At 51.6% G+C, this 20,681-nt stretch overlaps 1 protein-coding gene across 73 annotated transcripts in view, besides 3 other annotated features; it reads right to left on the bottom strand.

Annotated features, from left to right (window-relative positions):
- CEP164 (centrosomal protein 164) overlaps nt 1-20,681 on the bottom strand; it is a 91,489-nt gene that overhangs the window by 13,757 nt on the left and 57,051 nt on the right. For 13 of the 73 annotated variants that reach the window (NM_001440972.1, XM_005271453.2, XM_047426571.1 and 10 more), the window contains 16 exons: nt 18,805-18,896; nt 17,642-17,809; nt 16,568-16,714; nt 12,098-12,307; nt 8,602-8,733; nt 8,295-8,511; nt 7,207-7,284; nt 6,883-7,014; nt 6,384-6,506; nt 5,017-5,160; nt 4,507-4,590; nt 4,319-4,387; nt 3,788-3,963; nt 3,330-3,456; nt 2,899-2,960; nt 2,197-2,419 (listed from right to left, as the gene is read on the bottom strand). In NM_001440972.1, coding sequence (NP_001427901.1) covers nt 2,197-2,419; nt 2,899-2,960; nt 3,330-3,456; nt 3,788-3,963; nt 4,319-4,387; nt 4,507-4,590; nt 5,017-5,160; nt 6,384-6,506; nt 6,883-7,014; nt 7,207-7,284; nt 8,295-8,511; nt 8,602-8,733; nt 12,098-12,307; nt 16,568-16,714; nt 17,642-17,809; nt 18,805-18,896 — 2,184 coding nt within the window. Of the gene's footprint in view, nt 1-2,196; nt 2,420-2,898; nt 2,961-3,329; nt 3,457-3,787; nt 3,964-4,318; nt 4,388-4,506; nt 4,591-5,016; nt 5,161-6,383; nt 6,507-6,882; nt 7,015-7,206; nt 7,285-8,294; nt 8,512-8,601; nt 8,734-12,097; nt 12,308-16,567; nt 16,715-17,641; nt 17,870-18,795; nt 18,897-20,681 lie in introns of all 73 variants that reach the window. The other 60 variants (XM_047426579.1, XM_047426583.1, NM_001440962.1 and 57 more) reach the window with 15 other exon arrangements.
- Nucleotides 16,602-17,103: an enhancer, noted in NCBI's record as "H3K4me1 hESC enhancer chr11:117253123-117253624 (GRCh37/hg19 assembly coordinates)". NCBI's record gives its function as "activates a minimal SCP1, AML or CMV promoter by ChIP-STARR-seq in primed H9 embryonic stem cells {active_cell/tissue: H9 hESC(primed)}" and the evidence as "EXISTENCE:reporter gene assay evidence [ECO:0000049][PMID:30033119]".
- Nucleotides 17,271-17,796: an enhancer, noted in NCBI's record as "H3K4me1 hESC enhancer chr11:117252430-117252955 (GRCh37/hg19 assembly coordinates)". NCBI's record gives its function as "activates a minimal SCP1, AML or CMV promoter by ChIP-STARR-seq in naive H9 embryonic stem cells {active_cell/tissue: H9 hESC(naive)}" and the evidence as "EXISTENCE:reporter gene assay evidence [ECO:0000049][PMID:30033119]".
- Nucleotides 17,797-18,323: an enhancer, noted in NCBI's record as "H3K4me1 hESC enhancer chr11:117251903-117252429 (GRCh37/hg19 assembly coordinates)". NCBI's record gives its function as "activates a minimal SCP1, AML or CMV promoter by ChIP-STARR-seq in naive H9 embryonic stem cells {active_cell/tissue: H9 hESC(naive)}" and the evidence as "EXISTENCE:reporter gene assay evidence [ECO:0000049][PMID:30033119]".

The raw sequence follows: 20,681 nt of genomic DNA, 5'->3' as shown, positions 1-20,681 counted from the left end.
ATTCCATTACTGGGTATATACCCAAAGGATTATAAACCATTCTATTATAAAGACACATGCACACATATGTTTATTGCAGCACTGTTCACAATAGCAAAGACTTGGAACCAACCCAAATGCCCATCAATGATAGACTGGATAAAGAAAATGTGGCACATATACACCATGGAATACTATGCAGCCATAAAAAAGGATGAGTTCATGTCCTTTGTAGGGACATGGATGAAGCTGGAAACTATCATTCTCAGCAAACTAACACAGGAACAGAAAATCAAACACTGCATGTTCTCACTCATAAGTGGGAGTTGAACAATGAGAACACATGGAAACAGGGAAGGAAACATCACACACCGGGGCCTGTCAGGGTTGGGGGCTAGGGGAGGGATAGCATTAGGAGAAATACCTAATGCAGATGACCGGTTGTTGGGTGCAGCAAACCACCATGACACGTATATACCTATGTAACAAACCTGCATGGTCTGCACATGTATCCCAGAACTTAAAGTATAATTAAAAAATAAAAAGAAAGAAAAGAAAAACCCATTTTTTGAGGAGAAATTCAAGCTAGCTGCAAAAATTTTCATATGTAACAAGGAGCAGAATCTCCAAGACAATGGGGAAAATATCTCCAGGACATGTCATAGGTCTTCATGGGCAGCCCCTCCCATCACAGACCCAGAGGCCTAGGAGGAAAAAATGGTTTCGTGGGCCAGGCCCAGGGTCCCCATGCTGTGTGCAGCCTAGGGACTTGGTGCCCTGCATCCCAGCCACTCCAGCCATTGCTAAAAGGGGGCAAGGTACAGCTTGGCCCATGGTTTCAGAGGATGCAAGCCCCATACCTTGGCAACTTCCATGTGGTGTTGAGCCTGCGGCTGCACAGAAGTCAAGAACTAAGGTCTGGGAACCTCCGCCTAGATTTCAGAAGATGTATGGAAACACCTAGATGCCCAGAAAAAAGTCTGCTACAGGGGTGGGGCCCTCATGGAGAACTTCTGCTAGGGCAGTTCAGAAGGGACATGTGGGGTCAGAGCCCCCACACAAAGTCCCTACTGGGGCACTGCCTAATAGAGCTGTGAGAAGAGGGCCACCGTCCTCCAGACCCCCAGAATGGTAGATCCGTCAATAGCTTGCACTATGCACCTCAAAAAGCCGCAGATACTCAATGCCAGCCTCGGAAGGCAGCTGGGAAGGGTTTGCCTTCTGGCTGCATTGCTGTACCCTGCAAAGCCACAGGGGCGGAGCTGCCCAAGACAATGAGAACCTACCTCTTGCATCAGCGTAACCTGGATGTGAGACATGGAGTCAAAGGAGATCATTTTGGAGCTTTAAAATTTGACTGCCCCACTGGATTTCAGACTTGCATGGGCCCTGTAACCCCTTTGTTTTGGCCAATTTCTCCCATTTGGAATGGCTGTATTTACCCAATGCCTGTATCCCCACTGTATCTAGAAAGTCAGTAGCTTGTTTTTTATTTTACAGGCTCATAGGCAGAAGGGACTTGCCTTGTCTCAGATGAGACTCTGGACTGTGGACTTTTGGGTTAATGCTGAAATGAGTTAAGACTTTGAGGACTGTTGGGAAGGCATGATTGGTTTTGAAATGTGAGGACATGAGATATGGAGGGGCAAGGGGTGGAATGATATGGTTTGGCTCTGTGTCCCCACCAAAATCTCATCTTGAATTGTACTCCCATAATTTCCACGTGTTGTGGGAGGGACCTGGTGGGAGATAATTTGAATCACAGGGGCCATTTCCCCCATACTGTTCTCGTGATAGTGAATAAGTCTCCCGAGATCCTGATGGGTTTATGATGGGTTTCTGCTTTTGCTTGTTCCTCATTTTCTCTTGCTGCCACCATGTAAGAAGTGCCTTTCGCCTCCTGCCATGATTCTGAGGCCTCCCCAGCCATGTGGAACTGTAAGTTCAATTTTCTTTTTCTTCCCAGTTTCAGGTATGTCTTTATCAGCAGCATGAAAATGGACTAATAGTGTTATCATGAGGTTTAAATTATTTACTACTAGAAAAGGTGTTTGCATACTATGCATTGCCAAGTAAATATAAGTGACCCAGGGCCAAGGTGGCCACTCTCATGGAGTCCCGAGAATGACCAACTGAGGGGGAGCCCAAAGGACTGTTTTGCTGACTCCCCCCGCCTCCCCCACACAGGGCTGGCAGGCCCTTCCCAAAGCTCCTGACCTTCTCCAGGTTCTTGCGCATATCTTCCAGGGCCTTGATGCCTGGTGGGTCTTTGGCCACCTCCTGCGCACTGGCCAGCTCATGGCGCCAATGCTGCTGGGCAGCTTTCAGAGCTGTCTGCCGCCTCCGCATGGAGCGTGTCTGCTGCACAAGGAACTCCTTGGCACTACGGAGGGCTACCCCCTCAGCAGAGAGGAGGTGCCAGACATTGTGGGAGGACAGGCTGGAGCAGGAGAGTTGAAGAAGGAAAACAGAAGCCTCTAAGAACTCTGCTCTGGGTCACACAGCCCCTTCCCCAGCAGATGCCAACCCTGAGCACAGACCAGAGCTGCTGGGCTAGGGCTGGGCACTGTGAGTGCAGGGATGCCACTGTTCAATACCCACAGTGCGCAGTGCCTGGGACTGACAGTGCCCCCACCCTGACTCTGAGAGGGATCAGGCCTGGGGCCTCCAGATAGATGACCAAACACTTCCAGCAATCTGCTTCTCCACTAGAGGAGAATGCCATGTCAAAGGTCACAGTGGGCAGTTTCTTGGCTTGCCAGAGAAGATTCCTTAATCCTCCGGAGCCTTCCCCATGAACTAAGCCCCACTGGTGATCACCGTCTCCTCACTTCAGCTCACCCCAGCTCTATGATGCAGGTACTCACTTACCCCTTCATGGTACCCTAACCTCAAATAAGACAGGCTATGGGAACTCACCTGTCCAAGTATAAGTCCTCCTTGCTCTGGGAGAGAGAAGAAGACACCTCTTTGGTCTGGTTCTAGGGACACATGGTAGAAAAGTCCACTGAGTGTAGCAAAAGCAGACACCCTGCAGGTTCAAGACCCCAAAGCCCCTCCCAGTGGTCTAGACAAGGAAATGGCTCTCTAGCTGCCAGGCACTGTTTACTTATAGATATCATCTGACTGGTGGAGACGACTGGTAGCTGGGAATAAGAACAGACCAGGTCCCATAGAGAACAGAGCCAGCCCTTCCTGATGCCTTGGCCCACCTTATACTCCTCCCCTCCTGAGGCTCCACCCCTCCTGATGAGCTGTCCCCTCTGGAAGTACTCCCCTGATGCCCAGCCCCTCCCAATGCCCCACACCATCCTGGTGCCCCAGCCCCCAGGCCCCAGCCCCCAGCTCACTGTTCCAAGGGATTTCCTCAGGTCCTCAATATGGAGATCTGGCTCAAAATGTGGGGAAGCATTATTTTCCTCAACTGTCACTTCTCTCAACAGGTGCTGCTTCTTTTGAGCTTCAGCCTCCAGGCTGCTGTGGAAGGAAAGATGAGTGAGAGGCAGGGCAGCGGCTGGCGATGGGGGGGAGGGGTGAAGTGGGTCAGAACCATCTCCACCCCCTCACTCCCATCCGTCAAAGTCCCTGAGGAAGGGCTCAGGCACGAACAATAGCACCAGAGATCCCCTGCTTTTCACAGAATCTTAACAACCCCAACTCCCTACAAAATGTAGCCACAGGCTCTTCTGCCTAGCTCCCAAGCTGGGACTCCACCTCTCCCTATTAACTGGGCCATGACACAAGCAGCAGAGGTCAGAGGGCAGGCAGGAGGCAGCCAGCAGGGCTAAGTGCAGGGTGCCCACGCCACCTGAAGTGTTTCTGCAGTTGCTGGCTCTGAGCCTGCAGCAGATCCACTTGGGACTCCAGCTTCAGCTTGCGGGCCTGCAGCTCATCAAGAATTTCTCGGAGCTGCTGGTTTGACTGCAACAGGTGGGTGTGCTCCTTCTGTGCCTCCTCCAGCTGCTGATGGGTGGCTGTGGCTTCCTAGGGGCAAAAGGAAAGATAGAAGCACCCAGAGACAGCACAGAGAGAAGCCAGGGAGCAGACAGCACGAGAGGGTAGGGAAGCCAAAGGAGGACAGGCTGGGAATGAATTCAGAGCCACTGAAGTCACCACCTCTGAGGTCAAGAGGTCTGCAGGCTCCTGTCCTACCACAGTCCCACTCCCTTGAGGTTCCCAAGTGGGGTCCACAGAGTGGCACTATTTGTGGAATACTGGCCAACAGAGTTTGGAACCCCAGTGCCCTGGACAGATCAGATGAACAAAATGTGGGGAACAGGGAGAAGAAAGACAGGAAATGGAGGAAGAACAGGAGGGAGGACAAAACAGGGAGACAAACCTCACTCTTCAGAGCAACCTGCCTCTGCACATCAAGCAGCTGCTGCTTCTCCCTCCGGGCGGTCTCCTCCTTGCAGGGAAGAGACAGGATTTTCTGGCTGACTGCAGACCCCAGGTCTGAGGGGCAGAGCCTGCCCTCTGCTAGAGAAGCTATGACTCTGAGGTCAAGGACTCCTGCAGATCCCTCACCTGGACCTCCAGCAGAGCCAATCTGGCCTTGACATCTTTAGCTCTGGTTTCAAGGTCCAACTCTAAATCCTGGAGCTTCCTTTCCTGCCCAGAAAGGGAAACACATAAGCATAGAAAGAGTGTAAGGCATTAGCTGAGGGGCAGGAGGGGGTTCCAGAACCCACCATGCCACACCACAACCTCCACTCTGGGCTCAGGCTTCCTCGCTGTGTGCCCCTGCAGCCTCCCAGGAAGGCTCCACACCTTGTTTACTTCCTGCTGGGGCAAGGAGACGCAAAGGTGCCAACCCCAATGCCTTACAGGGGCTGACCTCTAGTTCTAATCCTGAGTGTGTTCCCTGGCCCAGAAAACAAAGTAACAAGGATGCCCCAGCTTGGAGATGGCCAGTGAGAGACTCTCACTCCAGAAGCTGTCAGGCTGCATCCTGCTGGGGCCATGCGTCTGCTCCCAGCACCTTCCTACTGTGCATGGAGGGGTCACAGTGGGCTCACCCTGCCCCAGGCCCCTCACCTGCTCCCTGTGCCGGCGCCGCAAGTCCTCAAGACGCTTGTGTTGCTCCTGCCTCACAGTCTCCAGTTCTCGTTCATGGGCCCTCTGCAGGCGCTCCAGCTCTCCGGTCAGGTGCCCCAGAAGCTCAGCCCGCTGCTTCCTCTCCTGCAAGGAGGGTGGGCCCACCGGTGGGAAGCTGCGGCAGCCCCTTCTACCACAAAAATCACAGCTCCCCTAGCCCTGCAGCCTTGCATCAGTAAGATCAGGGACACCATCGGCTCCCTAAAGCCAGCTCTTGGAGAAGAGGAGGGTTACAAGCACAGCACCGGCCCTGGCCCCAGCAAGCCTGCAGCCCTCTAGAGCTGAAGCAGAGGCTGGTCAGACACCACGACAGATTCCCTTTCTGGCTCTCCCTATGGCTCCACCATATACAACTTTTCCTCTGTAAGGAATGAGAGGTCACTGATAAATTATCACTATTCTTCAGCAAGGTCATAATTGGTTGGGGGAAGGGATATGGCAAATTTCATCATGGGACTGCTATTTCTGCCCTGGGAAAGATCCTAGAAAGAGTCTGGGATACTGGTTCCAGTTACTGGAGCAGTAGTCTTAACACCCTGCAGGGTCCCAGCTGTGGGCTATAGTCAGCCACCCTCTACCCACCCATTGTTCACCCTCAATGTGAGCAAGGCAGGCCAGCTTGGGTAAACTCAAGTCGCTGAACTTTCCTACCTTAAGACCAAAGGCTTAAAATGGGGAGAATATCAGTATTACTTGGCTCTTGCCAGTCTATTTCTTGGTGTCCCAAGATGTTGAGGAACCCTGGTGACACAGCATTGCAGTGAGGAAACTGAAGGCTTTGGAGTCAGATGGCCTGGGCTTGAATCCTAGCTCTTCTACTTATTGGCTGGGTGTGATCTTGGGAAGCTACTTAAACTCTCCAAGTCTCAGTGCCCTCATCTTTAAAATGGAGACAATGATAGTAGATCCTTCCTAAGGCTGGTGTGAGGACTAAATGAGTTAAAATAGATAAAGAGCTCAGAACAGTTCTTGGCACACAGTACAAGCTCAATGTATGGGGGTTCTTTTTACTATCAGAAGAAAGTACAGCCTGCCTGATAAAAGAGGAATTGCCCCCCATTAGGTGGAGGTTTTTCTCATGTTTTAATAAAAAAGGCAAAAAACATCATCGTGGCAGGGTACCAGGAAGGAAAACCTCCCACAATCCCTGACCACAGTTTATCCCCTTCCTCTGCCCCACAGCCAGGTGGGAAGGACCCCGGGGTGTGTGTGCATGTGCGTGCATGTGTGTGTGCATGTGTGTGTGCATGTGCGTGCATGTGTGTGTGCATGTGTGTGCATGCGCGCAGGGGATGTGGCTGAGCTACCTCAGCTTCATACTGCTCTCTGGCCTTAGCCATCACTTGCTGGTGCTCCTCCTTCATCTTGTCCAACCTCCTCTCATGCTCCCCTTCCACTTCCTGGCGCTTCTCTCGCAGGAGACTGCTGAGCTGCAGGGGAGATGGCAGGGATGTGGCATGAAGAACCGAGGCGGACCAGCACTCAGGGCCTGCTGCACCTGAAGGTCTTACACACATTTCCCCAATCTCCCCCAACACACACAACACATGCACATCACACAGCCATGACACCATGGTCAGCACACAGCCATACCCCAACACCCCCTCCCCACATGCATACAGGGGCATCAGATTGGAGGAGTACCTGGCTTCAAGGGAACTAAGGCATAAAAAGGGAACTAGAAATGCTAACCCCAGCTGAGCCATCCAAAGCAAACTGGAGGCCGCTGAGGCTAGGCCGGCTCAGCTGACTGTAAGAGAGTCCACAACAGGCGCACACGACTGTGGAAGACAGAGCAGCACTCACCTCGTGCTCATACCCAGCCACGTGATAAGACTTCTGGTGAACTCTGTGCTCCACTTGCCCAAGGCACTTCTGCAGCTGGGCCTCCTCTTTCTGTTGAGCTTCCTGTATCTTCTTCTGGAGGCTGGAGACCACCTGAGGAGGCCCCCGCACACACAGGGGAGTGTGACCCTCAGACAGACTGTACAGCTGCTGTGTGGGGATGTGTTCTGAGGACCTGGCATCCATCCCCCAGGGCTGGAGAGAGAGGCTCGCTGCCTAGTAGCCAGGGATGGGGCTGAATTCTGCTAATCAGCCATGAAGGGGGCCCAGGATGCTGCATCTTACCTCCCGGTGCTTGGCCTCCAATGAGGAGCAGAGCCGCTCCAGCTCAGCACTGTGCTCCTTCTCCAGCGTTGCCACAGCCTGGGGAGGAGCAAAGGGACTGTGAGTGAAGCTGGCCAGGTACTGATCATGGTGGGAGGCGGAGCCAGGAAGACTACCGACCCCCAAGCCCTCGAGATCAGGGTCAAGGGAAGCATGGGGAAGCACAGCACATCTTTGTTCCTCTGAAATAACTCAGCCCCTGAAGTCTACAACTGGCAAATGAACAGGAACATGAAGGTCAGAGGAGAGGGGCATTTCAGTAAGTTTCGGCTCTCTGCTCCCACCCCCTGCCTTTAGACTAGGCCACAGATCCACAGATGGTGCTCATGCTGGTAAATAAGATCCAAGCCAGGGGGGCCAGGTTGGATGCTGTCATTAAGTCGGGCCATGTAGAATTTTCTTTTTATTTTGGTGAGGTGCAAAGCTGCAGCTATTAGACAAGGAAAACACTACAGCAGGAGTAGGGAAGTGCACTGTACTACAAGTGCTCAGAGAGACTGTGCTAAAACCTTCAGAAGCCCACCATCTGACTGGAGTAGAAGAGGGAGTATGGACAAAGAGAAAATCCTTGCTATATTGCTAGCCTCTCATCCTAAGAAAGGAGAGAAAAGTGGGGAGTGAGGCCCTTGCAGCTGTCCCTCAGAGACAGTGAGGGACAGAGCGCCTTTGTCTCAAAACCTCTGGTCTGGCTAAATCTCTTTCAGTCACGAACTTTCTCAAATCCACAGGACGCTCTCCCTCAAGCCTCTGAGGGTTCTCTGCTTGACAACCTCCAGCCGCCACTGCCATCCAGCCTGACCCTGGAGGAGCCTTGTGATGCCTGCTGCATCCTCTGCCCTGTCATGAGCCGATTCGGTCCATATGGAGTAATGGGCCCAGGTGGTCATCTCGCTGTCTCCCATGCCTGTGTGTGTGAGACCTACTCTCCACCTGGCTCCCCAGCCTGCACGCCCACCCGAGACTTGCCCTTCTTCTCCTTGTGCACTCAGTCCCTCCCCAGGCAGCCCAGACACAGGTCAGAGGGTGAGGTCCCCACTTGACTAGCTCACTTCTTTCCTCTCCCCTTCCAGCTGCTCCCTCAGCTGCTGCAGAGCCTTCTCCTTTGCAGCATTCAGGGCAGCCTGCTCGCTCTTCTCCGAAGCCTCTATCTCTTCCTTGAGCTGCTCCAGCATTTGCCTATTTTTCTGTTCCAAGCTGGCCCTCTCAGCCTTCTGTTGAGACTCCAACTCTTCTCTCAGTTTCTGCAGGGAAGCCTCTTGCTCAGCCCTGGGTGGACACAGTGGAATGGTAACGGGCCTGTGCACCCTGGGGTCGCCTCCGCAGGGCTGGGCAGCTCACAGGTAAGCACACACTTACCTGATTTGGTCCTCATCTGCTTGTGTGCTGGACTGGACCTGAGCTCGGAGCCAGGATAGCCTCTGGCTTTCCTCCTCTCTCATCCGGGCCTCCTCCTCCTCAATGGCTTTCTGCAGCCGCTCCCTCAAGGAACTGAGATGGAAAGGAAAGGCTAGGTTGTCAGAGAAACCACAAAGGTCTTTCTTCTATTCATAAGCTATGGCTCTCAGCCTCCAATAGCCCTGTTGCCTGCCTAAGAAACTTCCTAAATCTTTTTTTTTTTTTTTCTTTTTGGAGACAGGTTCTTGCTCTGTTGTCCAGGCTGGAATGCAGTGGTGTGATCATGGCTTACTGCAGCCTTAAACTCCTGGGCTTAAGCAATCCTCTCGCCTCAGCATCCCATGTAGTTGGGACCACAGGCATGCACCATCAAACCCAGCTAATTGTTGAGATGGAGTCTCGCTATGTTGCCCAGGCTGGTCTTGAACTCCTAGGCTCAAGTGATCCTTCAGCCTCAGCCTCCCAAAGCACTGAGATTACAGGTGTGAGCCACTGCGCCCAGTCAAAGCTTCCTAAATCTTAAAGATGAGTCTAACCTTAGCCTCTAGGTCCACTGCTGCCTCCCTAATACCTCCCAGGATTACGAAGGGACCATGAACTCCCCTTTGCTTCAAGAAGCAAACTAATGGCCGGGCGTGGTGGCTCACACCCGTAATCCCAGCACTTTGGGAGGCCGAGGTAGGTGGATCACTTGAGGTCAGGAGTTCGAGACCAGCCTGGCCATAATGGCGAAACCCCGTCTCTACTAAAAATACAAAAATTAGCCGGGCATGGTGGCGCACACCTGTAATCCCAGCTACTTGGGAGGCTGAGACAGGAGAATTGCTGGAACCTGGGAGGCAGAGGTTGCAGTGAGCTGAGATCACACCACAGCACTCCAACCTGGGCAACAGAGCAAGACTCTATCTCCAAAAAAAAAAAAAAAAAAAAAGCAAACTACTGGCTTCTGGGTTTTGGTAGTACAGCACTTCTTCCAAAGGCTCCCCTCTGTCAACAGCTTCACCTCAGCATGGCACTCACTCAAGGATAGCTATAGCCACCCAACCAGATTCCACATTCTTTCACTCCGACAGACTCTGTTCTAGCCACATCAGCTGAGTCACCATCCCTCCATTCTACCACACTCTTCCTTCCTAGGTTCTCTGCCAAGAATTCCCTTTTCTATCTGGCAAACCCATATTCATTCCTCAACACTCAGCTCCCTCTCTGGGAAGTCTTTCCAACTCCCTACAAGCTCATCAATTCATCTTTCTGTTCCCATCACTTTACATGTGGACCTTTCTTATCCCATGCTACTCTGCACCATGCGTCACATGGCATCATAATTCATCTTCTGTATCTCTGTTTTCCTTGCAAGTCTGGGAGCTTCTCAAGAGAAAGAATCTTGTCTTAAAATCTGTTATATCCCAGGTACCACACATAGTAGCTGACATAAAGTAGGTGCTTAATAAATTAATTGAATTTGAACAGCATCATCCAGCCCCAAACTATAAGCAAGCCGTGATATCTATGAAAGGTTATCTTATTTACACACCAACAACAGTGGCCATTTCATCCTAAGCAGACATCCCCCTGCTTACACAAACCACATCCTTTTTGGGTAACTCCTCACACAGCCCCACACGACCAGGGGATGTGTGCTGTGCGCTCAGGGAATTCAAACCTAGGAAAAACGTGATTCGGAAGACAATTCCTTTGAAAAGCTTCTGTAGCAAATCCTAAAGCCAAAAAAAGACTTAGGATTCTTTCCTATTTCAAGATACTAACATCATTACTTTTTTCCATTAAGAGAGAAAATTTGGCCGGGCACAGTGGCTCACGCCTGTAATCCCAGCACTTTGGGAGGCCGAGGCAGGCGGATCATCAGGTCAGGAGATCGAGACCATCCTGGCTAACCCAGTGAAACCCCGTCTCTACTAAAAATAAAAAAAAAAAAATTAGCCAGGCATGGTGGCAGGCGCCTGTAGTCCCAGCTACTTGGGAGGCTGAGGCAGGAGAATGGCGTGAACCTGGGAGGCGGAGCTTGCAGTGAGCCGAGTAAGCCACTGTACTCCAGCCTGGGCGACAGAGCAAGACTCTGTCTCAAAAAAAAAAAAAAGAGAGAAAATTTGAATTAAGTAAAAATCCTTCCTTCTAGATTCCCCAGAAACCTTTTCTCTTTGTCCTATGGCTAAATTTTACACACAGCAACACAGTGTTAGAGCTGGCAGGGACTTTAGAAGTTTTAAGTCCAATCCCTTCATTTTACAGTGAAAGAAGCTAAGGGCCAGCCTGCCTGCCTTCTCATTCCAGAAATATTTGTTACAAGATCAGCTGTGGCTTCCAGAAATTTCTACCACATGGAAGTTCCCAGCAGACGGAAGGAGAGCCCATTCCTCAGAAAGGCTTGGGCATAAACAGAAACAGGTTCTGGTGATGAACTAGTTTGAAGAAAGCCAGGCCTTGAAGGCAGTGTCCACAGAGAAATCACTTAGTCAAGAATGCCTGAATATGCATTGATTTCCATTGAAAAGTAATTGCTACCATTTGTTCAGCAACTGCTATGTTCCAGGCCATGAATCAAGACACTTCTAGCATGCCAGTCTTCCCCACAACCTAAGAGGGCCTCTGGAGTCAGGGGCCTCGGGAGAGAGATGGAAAGCACAGTCAGCCAAGCTCAGGGTGGCCAGCAAGAGGGGAGGAGACTGGTGGGCTGGCAGGGACACAGCGCCAGGATTTCCTCCAAGGTGCTGCACCTTAAGGTGAGTCACATCCTGCTTGGGTGGGCCCCTGCCCCAATTCTCAGTTGGCTGGAAGAGGAGGATGCTAGGGGGTTGGAGGATGCTAGGGGGTTGGAGGTGTCTGTTCTTTGGGATGCTCCCTGGTGGAGGACCCACAAGGATGTGATATAAGGACAGACCCTATGTCAGTGCTTCCTGCGCTGGACTCATGAGAGATTGCTCCAACCTTCCCAGTACTTGTATGTTGGTTTTCTGTTTTATATTCTCTAAATTAAGCATAAATGTTTTATATATACTTTGCTAGGTATCATCTAAAAATAATAATTTTCTACCACTCTTGGATGTTCTGTACAAGAGGACAAGACTTAGCCTTTAGTTAAATTGCCAAGTAAATGAAATATGTTAACACCTTTTTGTAGTACCTTTCCCAACCTGGGACTGTGACAGATGGCTCATTAACAGCTCAATATCCATTCTCCCTTTCTTCCTTACCAACAGAACCCTGCTTTTATTCTACGGGGTAAAGAGGTCAGCTAAAGGACTACATTTCCGAGTGTTCTCTGCAACTAGGTGTAACCAATGAGATATAAGCAGAAATTGTTGGGTCAAGTTTCCCAACTTTAGTTGGTCTTAGTAGAACCATGGGCATCCCAGTGGTCCCCAGGCTAAGAGGGTGTCCCTGGCTCCTCACATCCCTGAAAGGCCCCAGGAAGCATGCCTAAGGGGAAGGGCAGGACCTGAGAGATTGCTCTTTCTGCTGGTGAAGCCGGAGGATCTCCTCTTCCTCCTCTTGGCACAGCTTCTCCCGCAGTTGCTGCATCTTCTCTTGCTTGGATTCCAGCAGGTGCCTCTGGTCTTGCTCGAGTACTTGGGCCACTGCCTCTTCCATGGCCTTTAGTGCAGCCTCTGAGAGCTGCTCTGGGGGAGCCACAGGCTCTGTGGATCGCCTACCATGGGTGGGGAATGGCATATCATCACAGGGTTAATGTCCACCCACCTCTGCATCCAGGTTAGAATGGATACGGAACATCACAGATGGAATCCTAATGGAGGGCCCACAATCAGGAGTCAAAGAGGTCACCCAAGGGCAGGCCAAGAGATACAGTCAATGCTTGTTCCATAGGACAAGCCCCATTGTGGCTGTTTAAGGCCCCAAGAGCCTAGGGAGAAGGGTAGCCCATAGCAGGCTCTCAGCAGACTTACGAGGTTATGGCCCAAGATCAAAATCTGAAGCTGCGGCTCAAGAGCTGGCAGCAGCAGGGAGAGAGTGAAGCTCTGTCCCTAATGGATTCCTTCCTAGAATGGCTCACAGCCCCGTTACCACCTCCCCGCTAGAGCTCTGCCTGCTACTTAAGGCTCATGCCAGCAATTTGTGAACAGTCCCCAGAGATTGCTTTCTGCCTCCCAAACTGAGTAGTGGCCAATGTATATGGGCCCATGAAAGAAGCAGCAGCAGGTATCCCAGCTCTGAGAACTACAACAGTCCAGGAAGGCCCAGGAATAGGAAGCTCCCCTATCACACCACCAAGGGGGCCAGGAGGAGATGCTCCCCTAAGCCAAAAAATGTAGCAAGCATGCACATGAGTGCCATGTTCCCCGTCTACCCATGGGGGCACGTTTTCGTCTGCTTAGAGTTAATTAAATGTTTAGAAATGAATAAAAGGAATTCAGAGCTGACCTGGATACATAGGAGGGTGGTGAGATCAGGAATAATGGTATCCATTAAAAAGATGTGTATAAAGTAATAAGGACTGTTATTTTGCTTGTTTTCTGGTTCTTCAACGAAATGCCCAAAGAGGAATCCTGAGAACATTCTGAGCAGGATAAAGCATGAGCAGGATAAAGCATGAGGAAACCATGAGCAGGATAAAGCATTTTGTCTCCCAGAGTGACTTTCCTAAAGGCCAGAATGTGTCTCCACGTCCAGGTCCCTCAATCTTACGGTGGAAAGTGGCCTCACCACACACCCTCCTCGCACAGCACTCAGGCTGTTGCAGGCCTGGCATGGTGGCTCAGTCAACCTAAGCGGAAAGTGTGGGCATGATCCAAAACAAAGAGGGCTGGGCAAGAGTCAAACAGGGGAGCTGGTCCTCCCTGCTGTGGACTCAGAATCCCTTCTCCCTCCAGCTCGAGCCCCGCTGCAGATGGAAAGCAGCGGGCAGGACCGGATTAGAACAGTAGAGGAAAACAAGGGCTTACGAATCCCATTGCAGCACCTTGAGACTATAGAGAGAGGAAGACAGGACAGGCTACTGTCATCTCTGAATTACCATAAAGACCTTTCGTTTCCCCTTTCCTAAAATCATAACTCGGACCAGAAATGATCTTCAGCCTATGCCTTCAATTCTCTTCTGCTCCCAACTCCATCTTCTCCTTCCTTCCAAAGCCTGGCTTCCTCTCAGTCCCCTGACACAGCCCAATTAATGCATATATAAGACATGTGGCTGCCACCTCCTCTGAGAATCCTGCCCTCAGAAAGAGGCTTCCCCCACAGCTCTCCGCCTCATCAACCCTCCAACTCATTTCCAACCTTGGCTGAAAACATCTTTTTTCCCTGAGATGGTACCTTTTAATGTCTCTCTCTCCTGCAGGCTGCAAGCTATGTGGAGCCCTAGGGATAATGCTGTGGAAAGATGGGGCATCAGACCATGTGGGGCATGTGCCCAGGCTATGAGCACCAGTGAACTTGCACAGAGGCAACCTGGGCTGTCTGTCAGTGGACCTCTTCTCCCTCGCACTGTTTTAAAGGTCTAGTAGCCCAAACTGCTAGCTCAGTTCCAAGGCAGTAAACAATGCCTGAAAGGTCCATGACATGATTGGGAAGTTGAGGACTCCAGGGGAAGAAACAGCTCTGATTTCTAGGCCAACTCCTCAGGTATCAGAATCAGTGGGACCCAGTTTCCTACAGTGAGTGACAAAGGGGAGGCTCTGCAGGAGCATAATCATTTCAGGCTGGCCACCAAGTAGCTCAAAGATACGGGAGAGAAAGCAAGAAGGGAAAGCAGGGAGAGACAGGGAAGAAAGAGAGCGGAGGGCGGGGAAATGGCACCTAGAAACACTGTGAAATGGTTTTCATGGTACTACCACAAAAGTTATGTCTCCTCTCATACTCAACTTGGTGGTTTGGATTCTTTTACCCTCTTCTCTGGAAATCCTCACGAAAGATGCTGGCATGACACGGGGAGGACCTTCCTGTTTCCTAGCCCTGGCCTTGGCCAGAAAGCATTCGGTGAGTGGCACATGTTGCCTCCTGGACCTACCTGCTCCCTCTAGCTTGCCCTCTGCTCCTAACCCTTCAGATCCAGCTTGACTACACCTTTGGAAGCTGACAGACACAGAGCTACTCCCACAAAACCTAGACAACCCATCCATTCCTGATGCCGCTGTAAAGATTAATAACACGGAAGCGATGGGGCCTGAAGAGACTCAGGAAAGGAAGAGAAGGCATTTCCTAAGGGGATGGTATAAACTGAAACTGCGTGGTCAGGTATTTCTCAGACCCTAGCAGGGGCAGCCTCGCTGGGATGGCGGGAGAAACACAAGACAAAGGAATGAATCGGCCAAGGCAACTGGGGAGGAGCTGGGGAAGCCAAGGCCCCAACTGAGCCCGGCTGCCCAGGCTTCCCTCTAGAGGTCCTGGGAAGACATCCCTCTGACCTCTGCCCAATCTTCCTCTCTCTGAACTACATCCACCTCCTGTCCTCACAGAAAGCATCCTGAACTGGCTAACCACAGCCACCAAGGTGACAGGAAAGCCATATAATTCCTCCAGGTCACAGTTTTCACTGTAGGATGTATCACCATCTGAAAGACATGACCACCCCTTCCATACACCACTCCTGCAATGTTATGGTGACAACATGAGATCCTGAGCTCACGTGCCCTGCCAGCTCTCAGTGAGTAATGTGTGCATGAACTTGCTGTGAGTAATGTGTGCATAAACCTGTCTCTGCTCATGAGTCAGTCCCAAATCCTTTAGACCTGCTCAGTTCACAGAAGGGAAAATGTTAAGTCCTGATCCTTCTCTTTCTCTATGCAGAGAAAAGGAACAGTGGCTGCAGACTAAAGTCAGAAGTCTAGGGCTCTAGTGACTATAAACTAGTGTTTTTATTTGAGACAGAGTTTCGCTCTTGTTGCCCAGGCTGGAATACAGTGGCACGATCTCGGCTCACTGCAACCTCCACCTCCCAGGTTCAAGCAATTCTCCTGCCTCTGTCTTCCAAGTAGCTGGGATTATAGGCACCTGCCACCACGCCCAGCTAATTTTTGTATTTTTAGTAGAGACGGGGTTTCGCCATGTTGGCCAGCTGGTCTCAAACTCCTGACCTCAGGTGATCCACCTGCCTCGGCCTCCCAGAGTGCTGGGATTACAGGTGTGAGCCACCGCGCCCGGCCTATAATCTAGTTCTAATTCTGCCACTGACTAGCGATGTTACCTTAGATGAATCCCTTCACTTCTCTGAGCCTCAGTTTCCTCGTCTGAAAACTGAGTAGGAAGGGGAAGGGTAAGAATGGAAGGAGAAAAGCTAAATGATTTCTAAATTTTAGAAGTACTTGGTTCAACAACATAGGTGAATCAGAAAAACACACTGAGCTTTGAACACAAGCACAAAAGATCAATCCTGTATACTGTATAATTCCATGTATGTGAAGTAGAGAACTGGAAAAATGACCCTTTGGCCAGAACTTGGAGCTCACAGGCCAGAACAGTGAAGATCTGGGGTGAGTGGTTTGAGAGGGGCACGAGGAAACTTCCTCGAGGGATGGAGACATTCCCTGTTTGAGTGGCCATTATACAGTGTGCACAGATGCAAACTTTCACTGAACTGTACACTTTAGGCCTATGTACTGCAGTGTACATACATACCTCAACAACATTTTTGAAGAGAAAAACAGTGCTTGGTAGACAGGAAACATGATTTAGCAAGTTTAGCAAATGAGCCAGGAGGTACCCCCTCATCTGCCCTTGTACCTCAAGTCCTGACCAGGAGCCCCAGAGACCAAAGCTAACCCCAGGTAAGGATCAGTCATGCCTGTGTGGGGCTCTCAAGGCTGCACACAGAGCACCAAGGATATGCTTAATCTCCCTACACTCTAACCCTTGGCCAGAGCCTGAGCCCCACCTCCCACCACCCAAGAGTGAATAGGCACTGAAGCAGCCCACACGCAGTGGAGGTCAGGGACAGACACACAAAACTGGCCCTTACACCTCTGGAGAGACTGGCGGGGTGGGGCTGACCGCCACCTTCTCCTCAGGATCCTCTGCCTCTTCCTGCCCAGGGCCCAGCTCCTCGGCCTGGGAATGCTGCTCCTTGCCCTTCTCACAGGCAGCAGGTGGGCTTGGGGCCTGCTCCCTTGATAGCAGTAAGGAAACAACTGTGTTAAAGCCAGTAAGAAAGCAAGAGGCTTAAGATGTACGCCATTTGGGGTCAAAGAGCTATGACAGAGACAAGAGAGACAGCCCAACAATTTCCCTACCTCGGGTCTTAGACCTCCCTCTCCCCGCCCTTCCTCTCCCTGAATTATTTGCATCAAAGACTAGAGACTCCTGCCTCACAATGGAAGCAAGATGGTTATGGTACCCCAGGAGCTCCGTACACAGCAGGTGTTCAGTGGATGCTGTTGATTGCACATCGATGCTGCTCAGGTTCCCTAGTGACTCATTCCAACCCAATGAATTCTAAGACCAGCATGTTTCTCTTGCTAGGGGGACAGACAACTAGCAAATGTCCACCACGCTCTTGACTAGGCTAAGAAAAAAGGTCCTCTCAGCTGGACCCAGAGTTATCTGGGCTTCCCTCTCCCTGGGCCGAGCACATAACAGGGCTCCAGCTGGGGTTGCTGAATGACAAGAAGTAGGATGACTATTGGAAACAGGGGTGCTGGTAGGGAGGGGACTAGAGAAAGGGCTTCCCTGACAGGAATGGAGCAGCCAGGGTGATACCAGTCTCTGCTCCAGCCCCTTGCAGGGAGGCAGCTGTGACAAAAGAGACACCTCCTTATTCAAGAGTTTCTAAGTTCCTCTAATCAGACCACATACCCTGATTTCAGCTGTAGACTGAGGACTAGGAAGAGGCACATTTCCTCATATCCAGATCCCATGGGACACTAAGCAGAGCCTCTGCTGCTGCTGCTGCTGAGGCTACAAACCCGCCCCAGCTCCCCACTCCCTCCCCAAGCCAACCCCACCCCCATCTCTCTCAGCACTAGCACACATACCCACTACACACAGAGCAGCCACCAGCCCTCATCCTCATGAGGATGCTTCCCCTCATCCTTACCTCTGGAGGGACAGCTGCAGGCTGAGGCTGGCTGCAGAGTCCTCCCCAAGCTCCTCTGCCTCCTTCCACTCGGGCTGCCCCTCGGGGCCCTGGGGAGGCTCTTCTTCAGTGGCCAGGCTGCGAGGGGGACTCTGGGCCCGCTCCTCGTGTGGAAGTGGAGGAGATAACCTGGTCAGGCCGGGCAGAGCAGCAGAGTCAGGCCCCTCCATTTGGAGAGCGGGAAGAGAACTGGGGAGTACAGTGTGTGGACCTAGGTCATTGCCTCCTCCTGGGTTATGCTCCAGCCCCACCCCCACATCCATCCATGGAGAGCCATAGCAGGGCAAGGCAGCCACACATGTGGGAAGGATAGACTCCCTCCTGAGCCCTCCTTTTACCTAGACTGGAGTCAGGCTCCACAGGGGTCCCTATACTGCCTCTGCTTGGTTCAGGAGTAAGAGCAGGACACACTCACAAGTATACCCATCCCCAGAGCTCACCAGCACTGGGGCCAGGGAGGGGTGGAAGAACTAAGTGGGGAGAAAAAGAGAAGCCAGACTCAAGAGGTCAAACTAGAAAAATGCATGAAGCTGTCATGGATAGTTTTTGCAGGTCCAAAAGTGAAATGACCATTCTCCTTCCCCTTCTAGGGTGGCAGCCCTTGTCATGGGGCTCAGGCCGGAGAAGCTGAGAGCCCCTGTCACATCACACACAGTTGCACTCTCACAGATAGCTACAGCCATTTCTGATGTGGCAGGGCCCTGGCTCAGAACTCTTGAGCTGCAGTACCAACCCTCCAATGCGACTCCTCCAGACCTCCACAAGGTTTCTTCAGCCCTGGCCCATAACCAGGCACACACACAGCTTCATCAGCCCTGGCCCCACAATGGTGCCCAGAGTCCTGCCAATTGTACCCAGTGGCACTTCACATTCCCATCTTGGTGAAGAAACAAAGGGTCTGCTCATGCATGCAAACATATACACACATTGCCAGTACACACACGTGCACACACATATACACACGCATGTGCACACACAGACCCTGCAAGGCCATCCAGCCAGTTCATCACCTGCTGCCAAGCAACTGTACACTGAGCCAGGCCGGCCACCAAAGCCAAGAATTCTGCCCAAGTCCACACCACCCTGAAGGCACAGCGCTGGGGATAGCCTCCCACCTATGGTACCTCTCCTCCAGGCCTTTGGACTGCTTGCTCTGCAGCTCATCTTGGCTGGACTGGCTGTCATCCTTGTCTTCTATTCCCAGTGGTTGCTGGGCCTGTAGGAGAGAAGCAATAAAAAGTTTGTGTTGGAGGGACTGCATTTGGGTCCCTCCATCCTCCTGCTGGCTCTCAAGCTTAGACGAAAGCACTGAGAAGTTGCTCTCCAGAAGATGGGACCATACGGGACGTAGAACAGAAGGTTGATCTACTGCACAGTGAAGCTTCCCCAAGCTTTGGCTAGGTTCACAGCTGCTCCCTGGGTCAGCCTTGAGGCCTGGGGAAGATGTGGCAGAAGACCACAGCCACTACACAGAGAGTCAGGAGCCAGAGGCTGAAGGAGAACACACAAGAAAAAGAAAATCCTGCCTCCTGCTGCTGGAAGCCTGCACTGTGAGCTGTGCAGAGAAAGCAGAGAAATCCATGAGTACCCCAAATCCACAGAGGCCCAGATTAGCAGTGCCAGTGAATGACAAGCGTGCTGAAATTACGAGGGCAGAATCGGGGGCCACAGGCAAGCACATGAGAAAGGATAAGTCCTGGAGAGATGGAGTCCTGGTAGAATGAGAGAGACAGCTGTGCCAGAGACAAAAAGGGCACCACCTGGCACCTGGAGGAAGGAAGACAAAGTGCTCCTTCGCTACATTCAGGGTCCCCGCAAGCACCCTGGCCCCATCAGCAGACAATGATGCCCCCTTCCCAGTCAGCAATTACATCATCCATCAAAAACAAAACAAAACAGAACAAAAATCTCATTTTAAAGCTTGGGTGACTAGTGACATTTAGCAAGTTGGTTTAAAAAAAAAAAAAAAAAAAAAAAGGAAGAACTATTCTTTGAGGCAAGGTCTCACTTTGTCACCCAGCCTGGAGGGGAGAAATATTCATGATCATTTCAAATATTTTCCACAGAGGTACAGTAGTGTAGTCGGCCTGGGGTCAACCCTTTGTTCTAGCTCTTCCTGCCTAGGAAGTCTGTCTCCTCCACTGTATAAAATGGGATAGCAAACTGCAACTCACAGGGCTTCTGGTGAGGATTAAATCAGCTCATATACGTAAGGCCCAGCTCGTGACCCAAAGAAGGCACGCCATCAATGTTAGCTCCTCTTCCCACATTCCTCTCCCTCTCCCCCAGCCTAAGGTAAAAAACAAAAAGAAAAGACTCTGCCAGTGCCAGTCCCCATCCTAGGACCTGCACTCCTTCTGTCACACCGACAGGAGCCCCGTCTGTTCTGGGACACAGGGTCAACAGGAGAGGTGGGGCGGGAGACAGCTCACTCCATCTTTCCCAGTAGGGTCCCCAGCCCTGTGCCCACAGCCCCCATACCTCTCCACTGGCAGCCTAAGCCCCAGCAGCTGTGGCTAACCCTGCCATCTGGATGGGTGAGGAAGGGCAGGGCTTGAACTAAAACCCAGCTCCCCCAAATTACATTAAAAATAGAAATGCTGCCTGTGAGTACCTCCCGGTGCCTGTAGCAGAAGGGCTCCCTGCCAGGGCTGCCACTCCTCATCACATCAGCACGGGCAGAGCCTGCAGACAATGGCAGGGCACGCAGCCTTTCCTGCCCCACCTCTTTCCCCTTCGAGGGTGCAACTCACAACTTGTCTTCCCCCACAGACCACACCATGCTCATCAAATATCTCCCTCTCTCACCTGTCGAGGTGACAGGCCCACTCCATTTAACAAACTAAAATATAAGATGAGTAATGAAGTGGGGGTGATAGTAATAAAAATAGGGGGACTGAGCCCTGAGTCAGAAAGGACTCCGGGGCTATCAGCCATACACCATAAGAAAAAAGGCAGCAGACAGGAGGGCTGGCTGCAGACCATGGCTTTCTGGCCTCTG

The sequence above is a fragment of the Homo sapiens genome, chromosome 11, assembly GCF_000001405.40.
Source record: "Homo sapiens chromosome 11, GRCh38.p14 Primary Assembly".
Lineage (NCBI taxonomy): Eukaryota > Metazoa > Chordata > Mammalia > Primates > Hominidae > Homo > Homo sapiens.
This window is presented reverse-complemented; position numbering and strand designations above follow the sequence as displayed.